At 42.4% G+C, this 19,151-nt stretch overlaps 1 protein-coding gene across 6 annotated transcripts in view, besides 3 other annotated features; it reads left to right on the top strand.

The window, feature by feature from the left end:
- The window catches only part of PTPN14 (protein tyrosine phosphatase non-receptor type 14), a 202,903-nt gene that overhangs the window by 168,713 nt on the left and 15,039 nt on the right, over positions 1-19,151 (top strand). For all 6 annotated transcript variants that reach the window (NM_005401.5, XM_017001941.2, XM_024448759.2 and 3 more), the window contains 5 exons: positions 4,788-4,931; positions 6,453-6,671; positions 10,051-10,179; positions 13,199-13,433; positions 18,215-18,378. In NM_005401.5, coding sequence (NP_005392.2) covers positions 4,788-4,931; positions 6,453-6,671; positions 10,051-10,179; positions 13,199-13,433; positions 18,215-18,378 — 891 coding nt within the window. The remainder of the gene's footprint in view (positions 1-4,787; positions 4,932-6,452; positions 6,672-10,050; positions 10,180-13,198; positions 13,434-18,214; positions 18,379-19,151) is intronic.
- Positions 1,557-2,056: an enhancer, noted in NCBI's record as "NANOG-H3K27ac hESC enhancer chr1:214554177-214554676 (GRCh37/hg19 assembly coordinates)". NCBI's record gives its function as "activates a minimal SCP1, AML or CMV promoter by ChIP-STARR-seq in primed H9 embryonic stem cells {active_cell/tissue: H9 hESC(primed)}" and the evidence as "EXISTENCE:reporter gene assay evidence [ECO:0000049][PMID:30033119]".
- Positions 2,057-2,558: an enhancer, noted in NCBI's record as "NANOG-H3K27ac hESC enhancer chr1:214553675-214554176 (GRCh37/hg19 assembly coordinates)". NCBI's record gives its function as "activates a minimal SCP1, AML or CMV promoter by ChIP-STARR-seq in naive and primed H9 embryonic stem cells {active_cell/tissue: H9 hESC(naive and primed)}" and the evidence as "EXISTENCE:reporter gene assay evidence [ECO:0000049][PMID:30033119]".
- Positions 12,713-13,213: an enhancer, noted in NCBI's record as "H3K4me1 hESC enhancer chr1:214543020-214543520 (GRCh37/hg19 assembly coordinates)". NCBI's record gives its function as "activates a minimal SCP1, AML or CMV promoter by ChIP-STARR-seq in naive H9 embryonic stem cells {active_cell/tissue: H9 hESC(naive)}" and the evidence as "EXISTENCE:reporter gene assay evidence [ECO:0000049][PMID:30033119]".

The following is a 19,151-nucleotide window of genomic DNA, read 5'->3' as shown; positions in this document are numbered from 1 at the left end:
CACCAGTATTGTCTGGACTGTGATATGTCTAGCTTTGTATTCAGATTTTCTTTCAATAGATGTTTCACACAGATTCAAGAAAATTATAGTAATTGGATATATAACTTAGTAATTGGATAAATAATTCTCCATTGAACTTATTCTGTCAAAAATTCACACACATACGTGAATACACACATACATATATACATACATATTACCACTTGAAGATCCATCCTAGTACTAGACATGAATAGCTCTTCTTCATAATATGTACAGAGCCAGGTATGGTGGGGGACACCTGTAGTCCCAGCTACTTGGGAGGCTGAGGTAGGAAGAGCACTAGAAGCCAGGAGTATGAAGCCAGCCTGGGCAGTATAATGAGATCTTATCTCTAAAATAAAATAATAATAAAAAAAGAACCAGCCAGACATGATGGCAGGAGCCTGTAGTCCTAGCTAATCAGGAGGCTGAGGTGGGAGGATCGCTTGAGCCCAGGAATTCAAGGCTTTAGTGACCTATGATTTTGCCACTGCACTCCAGCCTGGATGACAGGACTAAACCTCATCGCTTTAAAAAAATATATTGTACAATTTGGGGAGACAGTTAAGTTGTCAGAACAGGACTATGCAGGCACATATAGAACAACGAAGTGAATCTGCTCTTACTAATGAGAAAATGTTTGGATTATAGCTACTTTAAAAAATCTCGACTGGGCACTGTGGCTCACGCCTGTAATCCCAGCACTTTGGGAGGCCGAGGTGGGCAGATCACAAGGTCAGGAGTTCAAGACCAGCCTGACCAACATGGTGAAACCCCATCAGTACTAAAAATACAAAAATTAGCCGTGTGTGGTGGCGTGCACCTGTAATCCCAGTTACTCAGGAGGGAGGCAGGAGAATCACTTGAACCCACAAGGCGGAGGTTGCTGTGAGCCGAGATGGCACCACTGCACTCCAGCCTGGATGACAGAGCAAGACCCCGTCTCAGAAAAACAAAAAAAAATCTCCATTGCTGCTTGCCATGAACATTTTCACTCCTTTAAAAAAAACCTATTAACTAGAACTAATCAAAGCCAGATTGACTTCTCTTCATTCACCATGGCTGCACCATAAGGTAGCCAAGCCTAATTTTAGGAACTCCGAAACAGTTGTAACTTAAAATTTGCTTTGATGGATTCCATTAGGCCACCTTCATTTCCAGGTCTTCCTAACCCATCACTGGGATTCAACCTGAAAAGAACAATCAAGGCCCAAAGTTTTAAGGAAGCCAAGTTCCTGGGGTCAGAAATTGAATCTGTAGCAACCTTGTTACTTTTGGAAAACCTTAAGAACATTCTCAACCTCACAGTTCTGGCCAGCCCCACTAGAGTAGTGCTAAGAGATTTTTATACAGATATGACTTTTTGCAAACCTAGAAGGAAATTGTGCAAGGTGTACCTTTGCCTCTAGCAAAGAAAACCTTTGGCTTGGAATGGAAGAAATGGGTAGGTGCTGTTGGGAGAGAGCTTTCCCAGCATGGAATAAAGCAATTTATTGGTAGAAAATGATTTTTCAATACTTCTTCCAGACCACTTAAAAGCAACATTAGCATCAAGAACCTATCAGTCTAAGCATTTAATTTAGCTATTTCCCCTGCCAACTTGATACTTAATGATGTCCACATGGTCCCATAACCTCATTTTGGTTGTATTCATCCTCTTCTCTTGTTACTCGTATTAAACAAATAGCCTGTAGCCAAAATCTTGGCATGGGTCTCCTCCTTAGAGCTCCTTGCATTATCACAAAGGAACAAGGAGATTTTCACTATTGTTTTTTCTCCAGATGCTTTTCCATTCCATTCATGTGGGTAATAATGACTAGCAAATTTTAGCCATTAACCTTTAGTTCAAGAAAATAATTACCCCATTTCTACTTCATTTTCCCTGTTGATTTTTTTTTCCCCCAAATCTGCTACACTCAGGAGCTCAAGGACACCGGCAGACCTTAGAGTTGGATTAGGAGCTGCTTCAGTGAGCCAGGAGGCCAGGCAAGGTGGTGACAATGCCAGTGGCTTTGAGCCCAAGATGAGTCTCCATCTGTTTTGTTTTTAATGCAAAAACTCACCCCATAGCCTAAGCAACATCCCCACAGGTCAGATACTTCTCTGCTCTCCTCACTATGGGCAGCTTTTGCCAGCTTGATGGGAATTCATGAGAGGTGATGGCCATTCTAAGGGCCCTCTTGATCAGAACACAATGAGAAACTTTTAGCAAAAGAAAACTCAGGGGCTGGCGGGGTGTGCAGGTATGGTGAGAATTTGCCCTCTGGGCAGCTCTCCTGGAGCTGCTTGTCTGTTTGATGGATGGTTCCGCCGCTTTTATAGCTTCTCATTCTGGCTCCTACTGCTTCCTTGAAGATACTTCCCTGCTTGTAGTCCCCTAGCCAGAAGTTGATGCACTGAGAAGAAAAGGCCCTCTGATCACAGATCAGAGCTTGTGAATTATTATTATTTTTTTTATCTCTGGTAACAAGCTGATAGGGTGAGTGAGAAGGATCAAAGAGACATACTTTGATTTATCACTGAGTAATAATCCTTTCCCGAGAAAGACAAGTTAATTACTTTTTGTCTTAGACCCAGTTAGGGTCACCTTACAGTGCAGGTGGAAAGAAAGCAGGACTGCTGAGAGGAGCTCAGGACCCATTTTTCAGGACTATTGCCTTCTCAAAACTTTGGAGAGCAGTGAAAATAGATTCCCAAGTGAAAGAGGTGGCAGAAATAAAAAAAAAGAAAGAAAAACTCTTTCTCCCCAAAACTAGCAGCAAGCAAACAAAGACCTAAAAATTTTAATCCAGAATCTTCCCCCAGGGGGTTCCCGAGAATTGAGAGACCAGGGTCATTTGTAAGAATATTATATCTTTTGGTGGTAAGTCCTTGGGTACTGTAAACCCAGAAAATCTGAGACAGGTCTCAGTTAATGTAGAAAGTTTATTCTGCCAAGGTTGAGGGTACACACCTGTCACACAGCCTCAGGAGGTCCTGATGACATGTGCCCAAGGTGGTCGGGGCATGGCTTGGTTTTATACATTTTAGGGAGACATGAGACATCAGTCAATATTGTTTCTGTCTGGAAAGGCAGGACAACTTGAAGCAAAGGCAGGAAGACTTGAAGTAGGGAGGGGGCTTCCACGTCACAGGTAGGTGAGAGGCAAATGGTTGCATTCTTTTGTTTCTGATTAGCCTCTCCAAAGGAGGCAATCAGATATGCATTTATCTCAGTGAGCAGAGGGGTGACTTTGAATAGAATGGGAGGCAGGTTTGCCCAAGCAGTGCCCAGCTTGACTTTTCCTTTTAGCTTAGTGATTTGGGGCCCAAGATATTTTCCTTTCACAGTGCTTTTCTCACTTTCTCCCAGTAACCTCCTCTGAGATACTCCTTTGGTTTGTCTGATGAGTCGGCTGCCACCAGGATAGGCATCCTGTTGTCAGTGTCACTCACACAGGCTTCATTCTGATTGTAGGTGACATTGTGGAGACACATGGAAGGGCGTCATGCAGTCCTCCCACCCGCAATTAGAATAATTCATAACCCTGTGGGATGGCTCCGTCAAGACCTCTTCCTGGGGAGTGAATTTATACATCATAGAATAAGGAAAAAAGTCTCTCAAGGCTTGAAAAGAAACCAAGGATTCAATGGCTCTTCATCTGTGTCAGTCAAATGAATCTGCAAATTGGTTGCCCTTCATTGTGAATCAAAATCCTAAACCCTGCAAAACTCATCTGCTTCTATGAGGAATGCCTGTGTTCTTCCCTTAACTTCAAAGACACACTTAATTTTAGGAAAGGCCCTTCGTGGCTTGCTTGAAGTGAGCATAAAGAGAGCTTTTTCATACTCGGTTAGTTTCAAGGACCTGAGGAAGCACAGCAGGAGGCTAAAAACCAGCCCTGCCCAATCCAATTTCAATTTAGAGGTGAGGGCAGAGAGGATGGAAATCAAAAAGCCACAAACCAGGACCAGGTGTAAACATCAAAACCTTTCCCTAAGTGGTCTGCTCAGTTCCGGAGTCCATGTTCCCCCATAGCTCAGTGGCATGCAGTGATGTCCCACCATTTGTGTTGGGAGGCACCGTCTCTGTTACTGTGGGCCCTCTGGGTGAAGCCTGGAGGGTGATGCCTGCGGATCATCTTAGGTGACCCCAGCCAGGCTTTGCTGTTAGTGAGTTTGCTAAACCACATCAGCTCTCAATTCTGGGGATGACACACCCTTAGGTATTCCAAGGATCAGAGATTAATTATAGAATTAACGTCCTCAGCATTAGCCCCTCAGGACGGAAACTTAGGAAGATTTTCCTCTACAGTTTATGTGTGTGGATCTCTCAATCAACAACAAACTGTTTTACAAGTTTTGCTCCGTTCCGTCTGTGCAGAAGGTCCGTCACTGTGATTGGATTAGATGGTTCATATAACCCTGTTTCTCTTTTCCTTGTCCTGTCATCTTTACCTTTCTAAAGTGTATCGCATGTACCCTATTTTGTTTTTGTTTTGTTTTGTTTTGCCCTATGGCAGGGTGTATTTGTAGGGAGTCTTTTTTCTTATTTATTGGTCTATCTAGCTAAGGAGTTAATTAAGAATAAAAGCTCAGGAGTCCTGTAGGAACTGGCTTCCAGGGGCCCAGTGGGAATAGTGGGAAGGCTGTGTTTGAATTTGCCCTACTGATGGTGATTGTCTGCATTCCTTGGCTGGGGAGTTACAGATTTGAGGAGATTAAAACACATTCCAACATTCTACTAGTATTATAAACAATGAGCACATGCCTTTTCTTGCCGCAAGAATCTAGAGAAGCAGAAGATGGCAGGCCTGGAGGCACAGAAGAGGCCGCTGATGTTGGCAGCATTGAATGGGCTCTCGGTGGCTCGAGTCTCAGGGCGGGAAGAGAATCGAGTTGATGCCACCCGGGTTCCCATGGACGAGAGGGTAAGTGGCAGGCTTGTCAATGTGACTCATTCTCTGTAGTCTTAGGATCCCAAAACACCCTCCTTGCCCGAATATGCCAGCATTGAGATTTGTGTGATGCATTCTTTCTTCAATCTGAGATTAGGAAGATCAGGTATAACTGTGTTGCATTAAATCAGTCCCTTTCAGCATCTCATGTTTCTCCATTCCGGTCTTCCTGCTTTGTCCGGTTGGCAGATCATTGGTTGACTAAAACCATCAGCCCCTAACATGCTGTATGACTTGGTCAAGTCACTCAATTTCTTTGGGCCCACTTCCTGTTTTGTAAAATGCACAAGTTAAACACTTGCAGTAGCTCTGAATTTCTGTGATTTTTGTGAGCAATTGCCACTTCTTAGGAAGTGATTATTTTATCCAAGCATTTATTTTTATTTTTAATTTTTTTAAACTTTTATTTTAGTTTTGGGGGCACATGTGAAGGTTTATTACATAGGTAAACACATGTCACAGGGGTTTGTTGTACGTATTATTTCATCACCCAGGTATTAAGCCCAGTACCCCATGGTTATCCTCTCTGCTCCTCTCCCTCCTTCCACCCTCCACCCTCAGGTAGGCCCCAGTGTCTGTTGTTTCCTTCTTTGTGTTCATAAATTCTTATCATTTAGCTCCCACTTATAAGTGACAACATGCAGTATTTGGTTTTCTGTTTCTGCTTTAGTTTGCTAAGGATAATAGCCTCCAGCTCCATCCATGTCTCCCGCAAAAGACATGACCTTGTATCCAAGCATTTATAGAGTTCTTTAAAAATGCTGTCCCCTCGTATGACCATAAAATGAGGCTGATTTATAATTGTCTGGATAATGCATTGTGACAACATGGGTTTTGAAAAGCAGAAAGCAGCTGCATGGTAGTGTTTCAGAAGCGAAGAAAGGTGGATCCTTAGTTCCCGAAATTGCTGTCAGAAGGTTAAGAAACAGGTTGTATAAATGTAATAAAGTACTAATAACACCAGGGTGTTCGATTTCTGCCAGTATGTATCCAGAATTAGAATGTTTTTAAAGCCAGAAGGGACTTCAGAGAAATCATTTAACCCAATTAATACCATGTTATTGGAATTAGTAGTTTGGCCAGGAAGGAGGAAAAAAGAGAGTGATTTAATCCTCAGAGCTATAGAACTGTGGACCAGTATCATCTTAAAAACAGCTATATAGGTGGAGGAAAGGATGTTTGGATAATTAAGATTAACAGTCTCTTTATCATTAGGACTTTAAACAGAGTTGTTAATAGCAAAAATATTGATTTTTGAATTTCAACTCTTGCTAGTTCTTGCAGATTTGTTCTACTTATAATATGAGTAAGAAGGAAAATGGTTATTAGACAAGGGAAAATATCAATATGGTTGATAATGAGACAAACCAAGCATTGATTGTAGAACTTGAAATCTCTTTTAACACAATCGCTAAATATTTAAAGAAATTTGGTTGTTTCATTGAGTTTTTGGATCAGATAATTTAGAGAGCTGAAGATCAATTTCTGTTGCAGTTCAGAACCCTGAAGAAGAAACTAGAAGAGGGAATGGTGTTCACAGAATATGAGCAAATTCCAAAGAAAAAGGCGAATGGCATTTTCAGCACAGCAGCTCTGCCAGAAAACGCCGAGCGCAGCCGAATCCGTGAAGTTGTCCCCTATGAGGAGAATCGAGTAGAGCTGATACCAACCAAAGAAAATAACACAGGATACATTAATGCCTCCCACATCAAGGTAAGAAGGCAAGCCTGTTAGAAGGTTTGGTAAAGATGGCTGGGTTAAAGGGAAAAATGCGGGGAGAAGAAAATGTGTGGGCTGCAGTTGTACCTTTTGGCTTGTCCCCAGACCCTCAGGGATTGTTTTTGAACTCCTGTGCTTTTCTTAGTCAAGTGGAAGGGCATGTCTATCACTGCAGAGAGAAGGAAGTCTAGCAGCCTCAGGAAGAACTTCAGGTCAGCGATTTCTGAAGCTCGCTCATTACAGAGGCTTTAACTTTTCCTTCTCTCTGTGGGCTGTAACTCTCTCTATACTCAGATTATCCTTTTCAGTTTGTAATTAGCAGGTGCTGGAGACTTTGGAAGTTACAGGTATTGCGTTACTGACATAAAAGTGTCATGTTCAATAACAATAGAAACTATTGTTTTTCCCTTATAATACTGCAGGTTATGCATTTTATAAAAGCGCGAGTCCTATTATTGCATGGTATTTAGAAGAGTGGAGTAATTTTCACCTACACTATAAAAGTGTGGTTAATATTGAATCTTGAAAGATTTGCCACATTAGTCAATGAATTTGTGTTACTAAATTTTTGTTGTTATTTCAAATACTTCAAACCTTTATATGTCAGTATTACATAGTTTAGCACTTCTGCAGTTAAAACTTTGACTTATGGATACATGTGTACCTGTAGTTAAATGTTTCTTAAATAGCTTACCTTCCTCAGAGTCCCTGTTAACAGAGGGACACTTATTTAGAATGTCACCATTTGCTCTGAACTCTGAAGTGGGAGATTTGTTCATCTATTAATGTTAAAGCCAGTGTTATAGGTGTTGTTAAATAACACAAGGTTCAATTGATAGTCCACTGTGATCAATAGCCTTAGAAACCTGTTTTCGGCCTTGTCTAGAATTACTTACTTTCCTCATTGGACTTTTCAACTGTAGCAGAATTATTAACAGGTTTTTTTAAGCCTGTAAAAGGCGAGTTAGATATCTAGCTTGTGTATCAATTATAACTAGTTTTGATACAGAATGGGAAAAGTATAGTATGGTTGGGTATATACTATTTTTATTAATATACACAGATAACCATAGTTTTTAATAATTAGAAAGTACTGTCAAAAGAAATATAAAAGAGTAACTATCATAGATCATATTACTAATTTTAACTTGGATTTTTGAGAGTGAGAAGTAAAAAGTGAACTCTAGGAAACTCTTAAATAAACTGTCAGTGGTGGGTTTCATGGGCTTAGTTTACATTATGAAACAATGACCAAAGTAATGTATTCCAACAAAGATGCAGATCACACAGCTGCTTCCTGATAGAGTGTCTATGAAAATCTTACATAGAAATATTATATTATCTTCTTCTTTTGGCCAGATCTCTTCCACTATTTTCCATCTGCTCTCTGAAAAAAGCTGTCACTTTGTATAAACTGTGCCCATCGGGCATTGTTAACCGAGGAGCATTCCCTTCCTTGGTATTCTCTGTGGCCCACATTTCATCCTGTGGATCCGGGTTAGACATGGGTGCATTTCATAGACCCGTGGACCTTGCAAGAACTTGTCCCTGTGTTTTGGAATAGAGGAGTATATTTTGCCAGTGTTTTCCCCCCTGGGTTCCAAGCAGCCGTTAACACAGAACAGAGATTTATTTGCTCCAGAGGTGGAATCACATGTGTGAAATCTACCTCAGCAGCACTGCTTGTTGTGTTTTTAATGCAGTTTTTAATACCCTTCTGTCAATACTTGGAATATACTGAAAGGCCCCAGGCAGCAGCAGCATTCTCTGGAAGTATTTATGTTTCCTATACGTTGGGTGCCAGAGAGGCTAATGTTTAAAATCACAATTCCACGGATAAACCAAACTCCTAGCCAGCAAATATATGAATGTTATCTCCCACCAGTATTTGGAAAATGGATTTTTCTTGCCAGCTTTGACCTAAACATGCCTTGTGTAATGAGACAATAACTTACATTGTTTTTGTTTGAACCAAGTTAGCATACAGTTTTATCAAATAAATGAGGGGAAAAAGTTTCAAACAATGATTACTTCATTACTTTTTGAACTCTCCAGAGATCTGCATTGTATAGATGTAGAAGGGACCTGACTTTGCAATATCAAGGCACAGACCTGGAAGGGAGAACAGAAAGAATTCCTCCAAAGGCCACCATTTCACCTTGACAGCATGACCTTTAACACTTTGGGTACAACTTCTTATTTATGGTTCTCAGCAGCTAGTATTTATAGCTGTAGAATTATCTTCCCCTGATCACCCTGAGCTGCAGGGGTAATAATTTTATTATCCAAAGTCATGTCATGACTGTAGTTCAGTTGGATGCTGTGGTACTACCAAGGTGAAGCTATTGATAAAATATATGCTGTTGACAAGAGCATTCGTAGCATCTCTGCCGTGCATGGCACCACAGAGCAGCAGTGACAGCAGAGGTTTATGATACACTTCATCTCAGATCCACAGGAGAAAGATAGTGCTCCAAAAGGGATGTTGTTTCATGATCTTTTTTTTTTTTTTTATTGTTTAATTGGATGCCATGAAGCACTGCTTTTCAAACTGGATTACAACACAGTGGTAGAATGTGAAATCAGTTTAGTGGTCATGACCAGGTGTGTGTGTGTGTGTGTGTGTGTGTGTGTGTGTGTGTGTGTGTGTGTGTTTCAATGAAATCGACTAGAAAAGAGAAAAGAATGGAAAGTGTTAGAGTACATTGCACATAGTAAGCAGTAACTATTATTTCTGTAACAAGTAAATCCTAAGTTATACATGTTCATATATATGCATCTATACATGTGTGTATGTGTATGGTTTTTAATAGGCACTAGTTTGCATATACTGTGAGTTGCAAACAAAGATCAGGTAAAGGCCAAGCCTGGTGGCTCAGGCCTGTAATCCCAGCACTTTGGGAGGCTGAGATGGGCGTATCACCTGAAGTCAGGAGTTCAAGACCAGCCTGGCCAATGTGGTGAAACGCCATCTCTACAAAAATACAAAAATTAGCCGGGCATGATGGCGAGTGCCTGTAATCCCAGCTCCTTGGGATTCTGAGACGGGAGAATTGCTTGAACCCAGGAGGCGGAGGTTGCAGTGAGCCAAGATCGTGCCACTGTACTCCCGCCTAAGCAGCAGAGCAAGACTCAGTCTCAAAAACCAGGATTAGATAAATATTTAATAGGCTTGAGTGGCAAAAAGTATTTTCATGTGAGAATGTGTCACTACACTAGCCTCTGTAGTCTCAGGGTTTTTGTTCATTGAACTAATTCATTCGGCCCCAAAAATATATCCAAGGTTTTAAGGTGGATACAGATGGACAGGTGATCAGCAGGTAATGTTGTCCGGACTTGGGGTTTATTTACCGATACTTTTCTTGGTTTTTAGGTGGTGGTTGGCGGGGCAGAATGGCACTACATAGCCACCCAGGGGCCCCTGCCACACACGTGCCACGACTTCTGGCAGATGGTGTGGGAGCAGGGAGTGAATGTGATTGCCATGGTCACTGCAGAGGAGGTAAGGGGAATGGCCTACTCCACATCCTTTTTCCCCAGGGGAAAGGGTGGCCAGAAGATGGGCTTTGTGCTGTCAACTTTGCTACCCTATCCTTCTTCCTGCAGTGCTGTTTCTCTGCACATGCTTTTCTCTTTGGTATACATCTGTTTTCTTACTTCCAGATAGATATTTTTTCCCCTGGAGATAATTGATTGTTGTAGCTTTTCCTCCTCCCATTTTCATCTGGCTTTTAACTCTTTTCCTTGGATTGTAATGCACTAAACTGAAAATAAAACAACAGAAAACCAAAAATGACAGACTTTAGTTCAACCTGCTGACTTTCTGTGCCAAACGAAAACAGTGATCTTTCCACTGGAATTTGGGAGTCTCAGGCTGCTCTGGGCAAATCGACATAGACGCCCAACTCCAGGCACCCAGCTCCACATGCCATCATCCTTATCAGCTGAAAAGAGACCAGAAGCCGTTGTTCCTGGAGAGTCCTCTGTTCTTTGGGGGAAGAAAAAATATCTTTTTCTTCTTTTGCCAAGCCAAACATAGTTTTTCTGCTGTAACTAGAGAACTCTATGTGATGTTATAAAAAACCAGCCTACACTGCCAGTCAATCCAGTCGGTGTTGAGCTTGCTGTCTTTGTGGGGAGAAGTGTTGTATTTCTTCTCTTGTCACATTCTCAAAATTTCTTTAACCACCTTCTTTTATTTCTTTCATTAAATTCCAATTTATGTTTTGAAATCATTCAAGGGACTAGTTTCATGTGTGTTTACCAATATCCATGGTATTGCAGTGGCCTTTCCTAGCTATGTTAAAGGGGTCAGGAACAAAGAAAATTGGGGAGGAAAAAGTCATATTTTCCTTCATTGACTGTGTTGAGCATTTGCTTCTCAGCACAGTCCATTAGAAGAAAATAATGAAAGGGACATCAGGCTCTTTAAAGCCAGTTGTACTTCCCTGGGCTGACCTGTTTGACCTTCCCACAAAGAGAATGAATCCTCCTTAAAGCTTCTAGAATAGATTTATCACCTTATCAGCTCACACCATTGCAAGGCATTCATTCACCTAAATACAGCATACCATCTGTGCTAACTTCAGGAGTACACGGTAAACGAGACAGGCACCATCCCTGTCCCCATAGAGCTTATGTCCTAGTGGGAGGGACATTCAAAAGTGAACAGATAAAATCAGTGCAGATAGCAGTAAGTGCCGTGGCAGAAATGGAAAACTATAGTCCAGAGTGGGTCTGGGTGAGTACAGGTCCTCCTGCCTCATCCCTCCTCCTCTTTGTGTGGGTTTCAGCTGCAAAACTGTCATTCACGCTAGGGGACTCCTACTAAAGGGTGGCTTCACGATGTGCAACCCTGAGCTCCAGGCTCTGTATCATGTTGCACACTTGCTGGAAGGCTGGAAGTAAAAACCTTATTAATAGTAGCATAAATTCAAGGGAGAAAATTTTTAAAAATGGAAAAAGGGTTAAGAAAGAGAGTGACTGGGGTCTACTTTAGATCAGGGGGGTGGCCAAGGACCCTCTGAGGGAGTGGCATTGGAGGTGAGACCGGAGTGACAAGGAGCCAGCCTTGCCAAGACAAAGTAGCATCTAGTAATCTGTGGGACAGCTGGGGACTTATAGTCTTTTAAAATCCATAACTGATTTAGACACTCAGCAGAAATGTAAATTCGAGGTAAATCTGCTTTCACAGGATTGGTAAATAAAAGAGGAAGGTATGCTTCCAATTTAAGGAGACTCAATTAAACCAAATGAAGCCAGGCAAGGTAATTTACATATTCCGCAAAGATGTGTTGCTTTACAAGTGGGCTTTACAAGAGGAACTCTAATGTTCCTGTAAACAGCCATCAGGGTTCCCAGAGCCTGTCACCACTGCAGCTGTATGTGTTCAGTGCTCCTTCTCTCTCACCACCTACTCCTTGCCCTGAATCTCCTCAGCTACCACCTCCTCCACACTCCGCCCCTTCTCCAGAGATTTTAAAACGGTGCAAAGCTGAAACATAGACCTTGTGTAAATGGTTGAGAATACATATTCTCAGAAAAGTTTATAAAATCAAGGGAGAAAGAATGGTGATGTAAGCAGCTGTTCTCAGTTCTAGTTGTAGATTGAACTAAAACGCATTGGTCAGGCTGAAACAAATGTGAAATCGACACTAGATAAAGACAGCATCGGTAGTCAGTGTGCTGTAACAGAAAGAGCTGTGCGCTGAACATCCGAAAGGAGTAACGTGACCTACAGCGATTGCTGGAACCCCTTCCCGCCTTGTTTAAAACCTTTGAATGACTTCCCGTGCCCATGGGATGAAATCCAAACTTTCCACCATGGACTGTGAGGCCTTTCCAGTCTCCTCTCTGATCGCCTGGCCCCTCACATGTCACACTCCAGCCACCCCGAAGACCTTCGTTTCTTTTTTCTTTTTTTTTTTTTTTTGAGATGGAATCTCCCCTCTGTTGCCCAGGCTGGGGTGCAGTGGCGTGATCTTGGCTCACTGCAAGCTCCGCCTCCCGGGTTTATGCCATTCTCCTGCCTCAGCCTCCCCAGCAGCTGGGACTACAGGCACCCGCCACCGCGCCTGGCTAATTGTTTGTATTTTTAGTAGAGATGGGGTTTCACCATGTTAGCCAGGATGGTCTCGATCTCCTGACCTTGTGATCCACGCGCCTTGGCCTCCCAAAGTGCTGCGATTACAGGCGTGAGCCGCCACGCCCGGCTGACCTTTGTTTCTTGAATGCACGAAGCTTGTTCCTGCTTCTAGACTGCACTTGCACTTCTCTCTAACATTCTACTGCACCTCGGTTGTGAATCTTTTAAATTTTCCATTGATGTAACTGTCATTGTAAATTGTGTTATTGGTCTTAACTAGCATGTATAGGATCTACCCTGTGGTAGACACTGCAGAGTGCTACTGAACTAGCGATTTAGAAGCTATTTGCATTTTCTTCTGTCTTCATATCTTAGGATTAAAAGGATGAGAGCTTCCCTTGACCTATTTCCAATTTTGCTTTTATATGTGATTTAGGAGGGTGGACGAACCAAAAGCCACCGATACTGGCCCAAACTAGGTTCAAAGCACAGCTCAGCCACCTATGGCAAGTTCAAGGTCACCACGAAGTTTCGAACGGATTCTGTTTGCTATGCAACCACGGGCTTGAAGGTCAAGCACCTTTTGTCTGGGCAAGAAAGGACGGTGTGGCATTTACAATATACTGACTGGCCAGATCACGGCTGTCCAGAAGATGTCCAAGGATTTTTATGTAAGTGTTTTTCTTCCCAGTCTGCTACCTGACTGACTTTTATGATCTGTGTCAATAATTCATCTGTTGGAGATGAAATGGAAAAAGAGGATGCTTTCTCTTAAGTGGCAAAAGTATTATAATATTGAAATATATATTCCTTTCTTACTATGTAGAACAGAGTATAATAATACATGTCACTTATTCTGTTTACCTTTCATGCACGTAAGCTAAGACTGTGATCAACATATTGGCTCTACCTTGATTCAGACCTTTAGCTACTCATTTAATCAGTAACTATTCTGACACATGTTACAACAAGGATGAACTTTGAGGAATGATGCTGAGTGGAAATAATCCAGTCACAAAAGGACAAAAACTATGTGATTCCACTTATATGAGGTTCCTAGAATAGGCAAGGTCAGAGACAGAAAGTAGGTGAGAGGTTACCAGGGGCTGGGGCAAAGGGGGATTGGGAAATTACAAATTTTTTTCTGAGGCGGAGTCTCGCTCTGTCACCCAGGCTGGAGTGCAGTGGCACAATCTCAGCTCACTGCAACCTCCGCCTCTCAGATTCAAGCAATTCTCCTGCCTCAGCCTCCCAAGTAGCTGGGACTATAGGCACAGCCACCACATCTAGCTAATTTTTGTATTTTTAGTGGAGATGAGGTTTCACCATGTTCGCCAGGCTAGTCTTGAACTCCTGGTCTCAAGTGATCTGCCCGCATCAGCCTCCCAAATTGCAGGGATTACAGGTGTGAGCCACTGTGCCCAGCCAGGAATTACATTTGATGGGTGCAACATTTCTGTTTGGGACAGGGAAAAAGTACTGGACATGGATGATGGTGATGGTTGCACAACTATGACTATGCTTAATGCCACTGAACTGTGTACTTAAAAATGGTTAAACTGGTAAGTTTTATGTTGTGTCCACTTTAGCACATTTTAAAAAAAAGGAGAAATAAAACTTAAAAATAGGCCGGGCATGGTGGCTCACACCTATAATCCCAGCACTTTGGGAGGCCGAGGTGGGCGGATCACCCGAGGTGAGGAGTTTGAGACCAGCGTGGCCAACATGGTGAAACCCCATCTCTACTAAAAATACAAAATTAGCCAGGTGTGGTGGCGCATGTCTGTAATCCCAGCTACTGGAGAGGCTGAGGCAGGAAAATTGCTTGAACCTGGGAGGCGGAGTGAACCAAGATTGCATCATTGCACTTCAGTCTGGGCAACAAGAGCAAAACTCCATCTCAAAAATAAATAAATAAATAAATAAATAAAAACGAATAACATTAAAAAAATTGTTTTCATGAAGGTTTGCATCTCACAAGACCTATATTTCCCTACAGTTGAGCATCTCAGTACTTTCTCGTACTTTCTCATATTTTTATGAAGACACTAAGAAGTATTGAAACCCTCTTGTAGTTTTTGAAACTGAAATTTGCTCAATGGCTAATTCATTAATTTCTGTGTATGTGTACTTTTAGAATGTGGTTATATTAGAAACTAATTCACCAGATTATGTGCAGTATTTTTATTTGAAAGACCCAAAATTGGGCATGTACCCACTACGTGCCAGGCACTGGATCGGGCTCTGAGAATGCAGAGATGACACTGAGTTCAGTCTTCACTTCCGACGTACTCAGAGCCTAATGGGAAAGACAGGCCAGTCATCATCGTCCAAAGATGAGATCTGATACCCTCCTCTGCTTTTCAGCGGTGGCTGCAGCTCTCCCTCTTGCTTTCCACATGCTCATCTAACTGTCCTGTGCTTGTCAGGAGACCCCGTTCTTTACTCACCCACCTGGAAAGGAGCCCCAGATGCTCCCTGTAGCCTTGTGCCTGCTCTGTTGTTGACTCTCCAGCTAGTGGAAGACCTGTGACCACCATGGAGGGACCATGATCCAGATGTTGGATCATGTCAAAACCTTGATTTTATTTTGGTATTCATTTAGAATGGGAGAAAAGGGGAATGACAGAGGGAGAGAACAGGTTCTCAAGACCTAAAAATACTGATTTACAAGTTCCAATAAATATTCCGATGTGTACTTATCCAGCAATACAAGCATTTCATTTCCTTGAAAGTGACGATGGTACTTGAGGGGTTTGGCACTGAAAGCAGAGAGTAGAAGGATGATTGGAGTCAGAGAATCTAGAGTAAGATCCAGAGAGGACTCGTGATTTGCCTGAAGTCAAATGGCTTGTTATCTGTAGCTTGAAATAAGGGCAGTGACCTTTACAGAACTTCTTTTCCTCCTAACAGTGCTCATTGTATTTCTTTCACCTGATCACGTGCTAATTGACTTATTAAAATTTTCTCCAAGAAGCAAAAAAGGGAAATAATATAAATAGATCAGTTTGTTGATTGGCTAACAGCTCTGATGAAAGAGTGAGCTTATAAGGCACTTTAAAGTATAGTCTTTTAAATCAGAACCAATTAAGGAAAGCCTGTCTAAATTACCAAAAAAGACATAGTATTTTTTTTTTTTTTTTTGAGATGGAGTCTCACTCTGTCACCCAGGCTGGAGTACAGTGGCAAGATCTCGGCTCACTGCAAACTCCGCCTCCCGAGTTCACGCCATTCTCCTGCCTCAGCCTCTCCGAGTAGCTGGGACTACAGGCGCCCACCACCACGCCTGGCTAATTTTTTGTATTTTTAGTAGAGACGGGGTCTCCATCTCCTGACCTCGTGATCCGCCTGCCTCGGCCTCCCAAAGTGCTGGGATTACAAGCGTGAGCCACCGCGCCCGGCCAATACATAGTATTTTTAAAGAATGTAAATGTATGTATTATGCTTTTAGGAAAGTCAATACACGTATTCTGTGCAGGGCATTAGAAATGTTGAATCTGTTTCTCCTAGGTTTTAAAAGATTTTTGCCCATGTTTAAATTAGATTACCTGGATGCAGAGTACCTGAGCCAAATTGTTTACTGCCCGCCAGAAGTCTTTATTGAGTTACAGCGTAAGGAACTTTATTAGTATGACTGATAGAGGAAACATCCTTTGAATCCACCTTCTCTCCATTACATGAAAAGCTCTATTTGAAAGTGGCATCTACCGTATTACCCAACATTCCTTTTATTTTTCTTCTTAAATTTAGCTCAAGTAAAGCTTTGTCTCTTGTATGTAAATATTGCCTTTGGTCAGATAGAATACTCAGTTGCCTAATGTCTTTTCCCCCTCGCAGAAAAATTGTAAAGAAGATTCCACACACAATATCTAGCTTGTATTGGTACCTAATAGTAACTACTCCCTCTATGCATCTCACGGCATCTCCTTTTCTTTTTCTTTTTTTAATTGAGGCGGAGTTTTGCTCTTGGTGCCCAGGCTGGGGTGCAGTGGCGGGATCTTGGCTCACTGCAACCTCCGCCTCCAGTTTTTAAGCAATTCTCCTGTCTCAGCCTCCTGAGTAGCTGGAATTACTAGCTGGGATTACAGGCTCGTGCCACCACATCCGACTGATTTTTGTATTTTTAGTAGAGACAGGGTTTCATCATCTTGGTCAGGCTGGTCTCAAACTCCTGACCTCAGGTGATCCGCCCACCTCAGCCTCCTAAAGTGCTGGGATTATAGGCATGAGCCACTGAGCCCAGCCCTTCTTTCTTTTTTATTTTGTCCTATCTCATTGTACATTACTACTACTAGTAGTACTGCTATGACTAGTACTAATAACTACTACTAGTCATCATCATCGTAGTAGTAGTAGTAGTGATAATAATAGTTTGGTTTTTTGGTAAAGCACTTCAGATTATTTTGTAATTAGATAAGTTTATAAAGGAAAGTATGGATTATTTATATATGTCTGTAAACAGGTGCTTTGAAATTATTTGAATGGTTCAAACCTACTTTTTTCTCTTCAACAATGTAAACATTTCCCCTATAGTCTGGTTTACACTTTTGCCTTAGGATGAGGTTCACTGAGTATCAAGAACCTTTAAACCTGTTTCTGTCCTGAGCTACTACAAAATCTAAATTATTAATTACATTTTGGGGGTTTTTGGAGTGTCTGAGGATTACATTTCCATACTTTTCTCTTTTGTCATGGTTGTGAAAAAGTCATTAAGGCTTGGAATCCTGTGATTTTTCTTTTGTGCCTAATTGGAGTCATGAACGCACCCCTCCCTGCACAGCCCTGCTGAGCCAAGCAGATGCTAGAAGGCATGGGGGGTATCATGACCCCCTCCACCTCACACACATGTTGCCTCCAGAATGGGGGTTCATCTTGGGCTACTCACATAGCCCCGTGGAATCCATGCTGAAAAGCAGACTCCCCAAAGTCTACTTTAAAACCCAAAAATGAAGTCAAGCCTCAGTTGACATTCACTCATCAGTGAGGGGAAGGAAGAAGGGGCAGATGGATGCTCTCTCCCCACCAGAAATTGGCTCTGACAGGCGGGCGTTTCAAGGGGACTTAGCAGTTGTTCTGATCCCAGTCTGTTAATAGCAGGAATTGCTGTAAGTAATGTCTAGAATCATCTGCTTGAGGGACTTAGGGATTTGCAGAGGGGAAAACAGAATTTAATTTTTAAAAAAGTACTATTTAATTTAAAGAACAAATTCTCCCACGAACTAATTGACTCCCAGCTGGTCCTGTCTGGATCCAGGACTGTACATTGGGTACCAGCCAAATAATTAGTGTCTTGTAAGAACTATAAATTATTGTCACTTAAAACACACACACACACACACACACACACACACACACACACACTCACCATCAGTTCTCTTCCGCTCCCCCCTCCCCAACTTACATGCGAAGCCATGGAGGACTTTGGTGACAGAATTTGCATTTTGTCCTGCAGCCTACTTGGAGGAGATCCAGTCGGTCCGTCGCCATACCAACAGCATGCTGGAAGGCACCAAGAACCGGCACCCGCCCATCGTGGTCCACTGTAGTGCTGGGGTGGGAAGGACCGGCGTGCTCATTCTTTCTGAGCTGATGATCTACTGCTTGGAACATAACGAAGTGAGTCATTCTGGGCTTCTCTCCGGATACTCCACCTTGGGGACAAGTCTACACCCTGGCCAAACCTTTGCCTGCACCCTTGCATTTTCAGTGGTTAATTTCCTGTCTCCCAACCAGAGTTTTCCAGGCTCCTGGTTCCTAGTTTGACTCTGACATTTACAGCCCTCCTTATCTTTTTGCCCTCCCACTGCTCCGTGTAGATACCCAGATAAAACAGGAGAAATGAGGGTGTGCAATAGAAAACACTTAGAAAATGTGATCTTAGGCGGCATCTACTTCCAGAAGTCTTTGGCATTTTGTAGATAGCCTGGTTTTATTGTGGGTAATTTTCCATGGTGAGTTATTTGACCCCATATAGTTTCGATGCATCTTGCATTTCTAGGATGTGTTCTGGCCTAAATGCTAGGTGAAAATGTGTCTACTTGGAAAATGTTTTTCATTCTTCAGAGTGAGGTTTGAGGGGTTGTTTGCTTGTCTAGTCTGGTTGTTGCGTGGTGTAGCGGAGCAGAGTAGATACTTTGAGCACGCAAACATCCCCGTCTTTGCATCAGCGGGTCACCCTACCCCTTCTCCCTGCAGAAGTGGGGTGCTGCTGAGCCTGTGCACACAAGGTGCGTGGCATTCCTTTGCTGCTGTAGGATTAGGGAGTTACACTGAGAGACTTTCAATTTTGTGTAGGTGAGACAAACAGCAGTCAAAAGCTAAGGAATAGTTCTACCTTCTAGCTACGTGGGACATTAGAAGTTTTAAGGGGCTTTTGCCTGCCATATCAG

This window comes from Homo sapiens, chromosome 1 (assembly GCF_000001405.40).
Source record: "Homo sapiens chromosome 1, GRCh38.p14 Primary Assembly".
In the NCBI taxonomy this organism is placed as follows: domain Eukaryota; kingdom Metazoa; phylum Chordata; class Mammalia; order Primates; family Hominidae; genus Homo; species Homo sapiens.
Note: the sequence above shows the minus strand (reverse complement) of the source record. Positions and strands in the feature narration are given on the sequence as shown.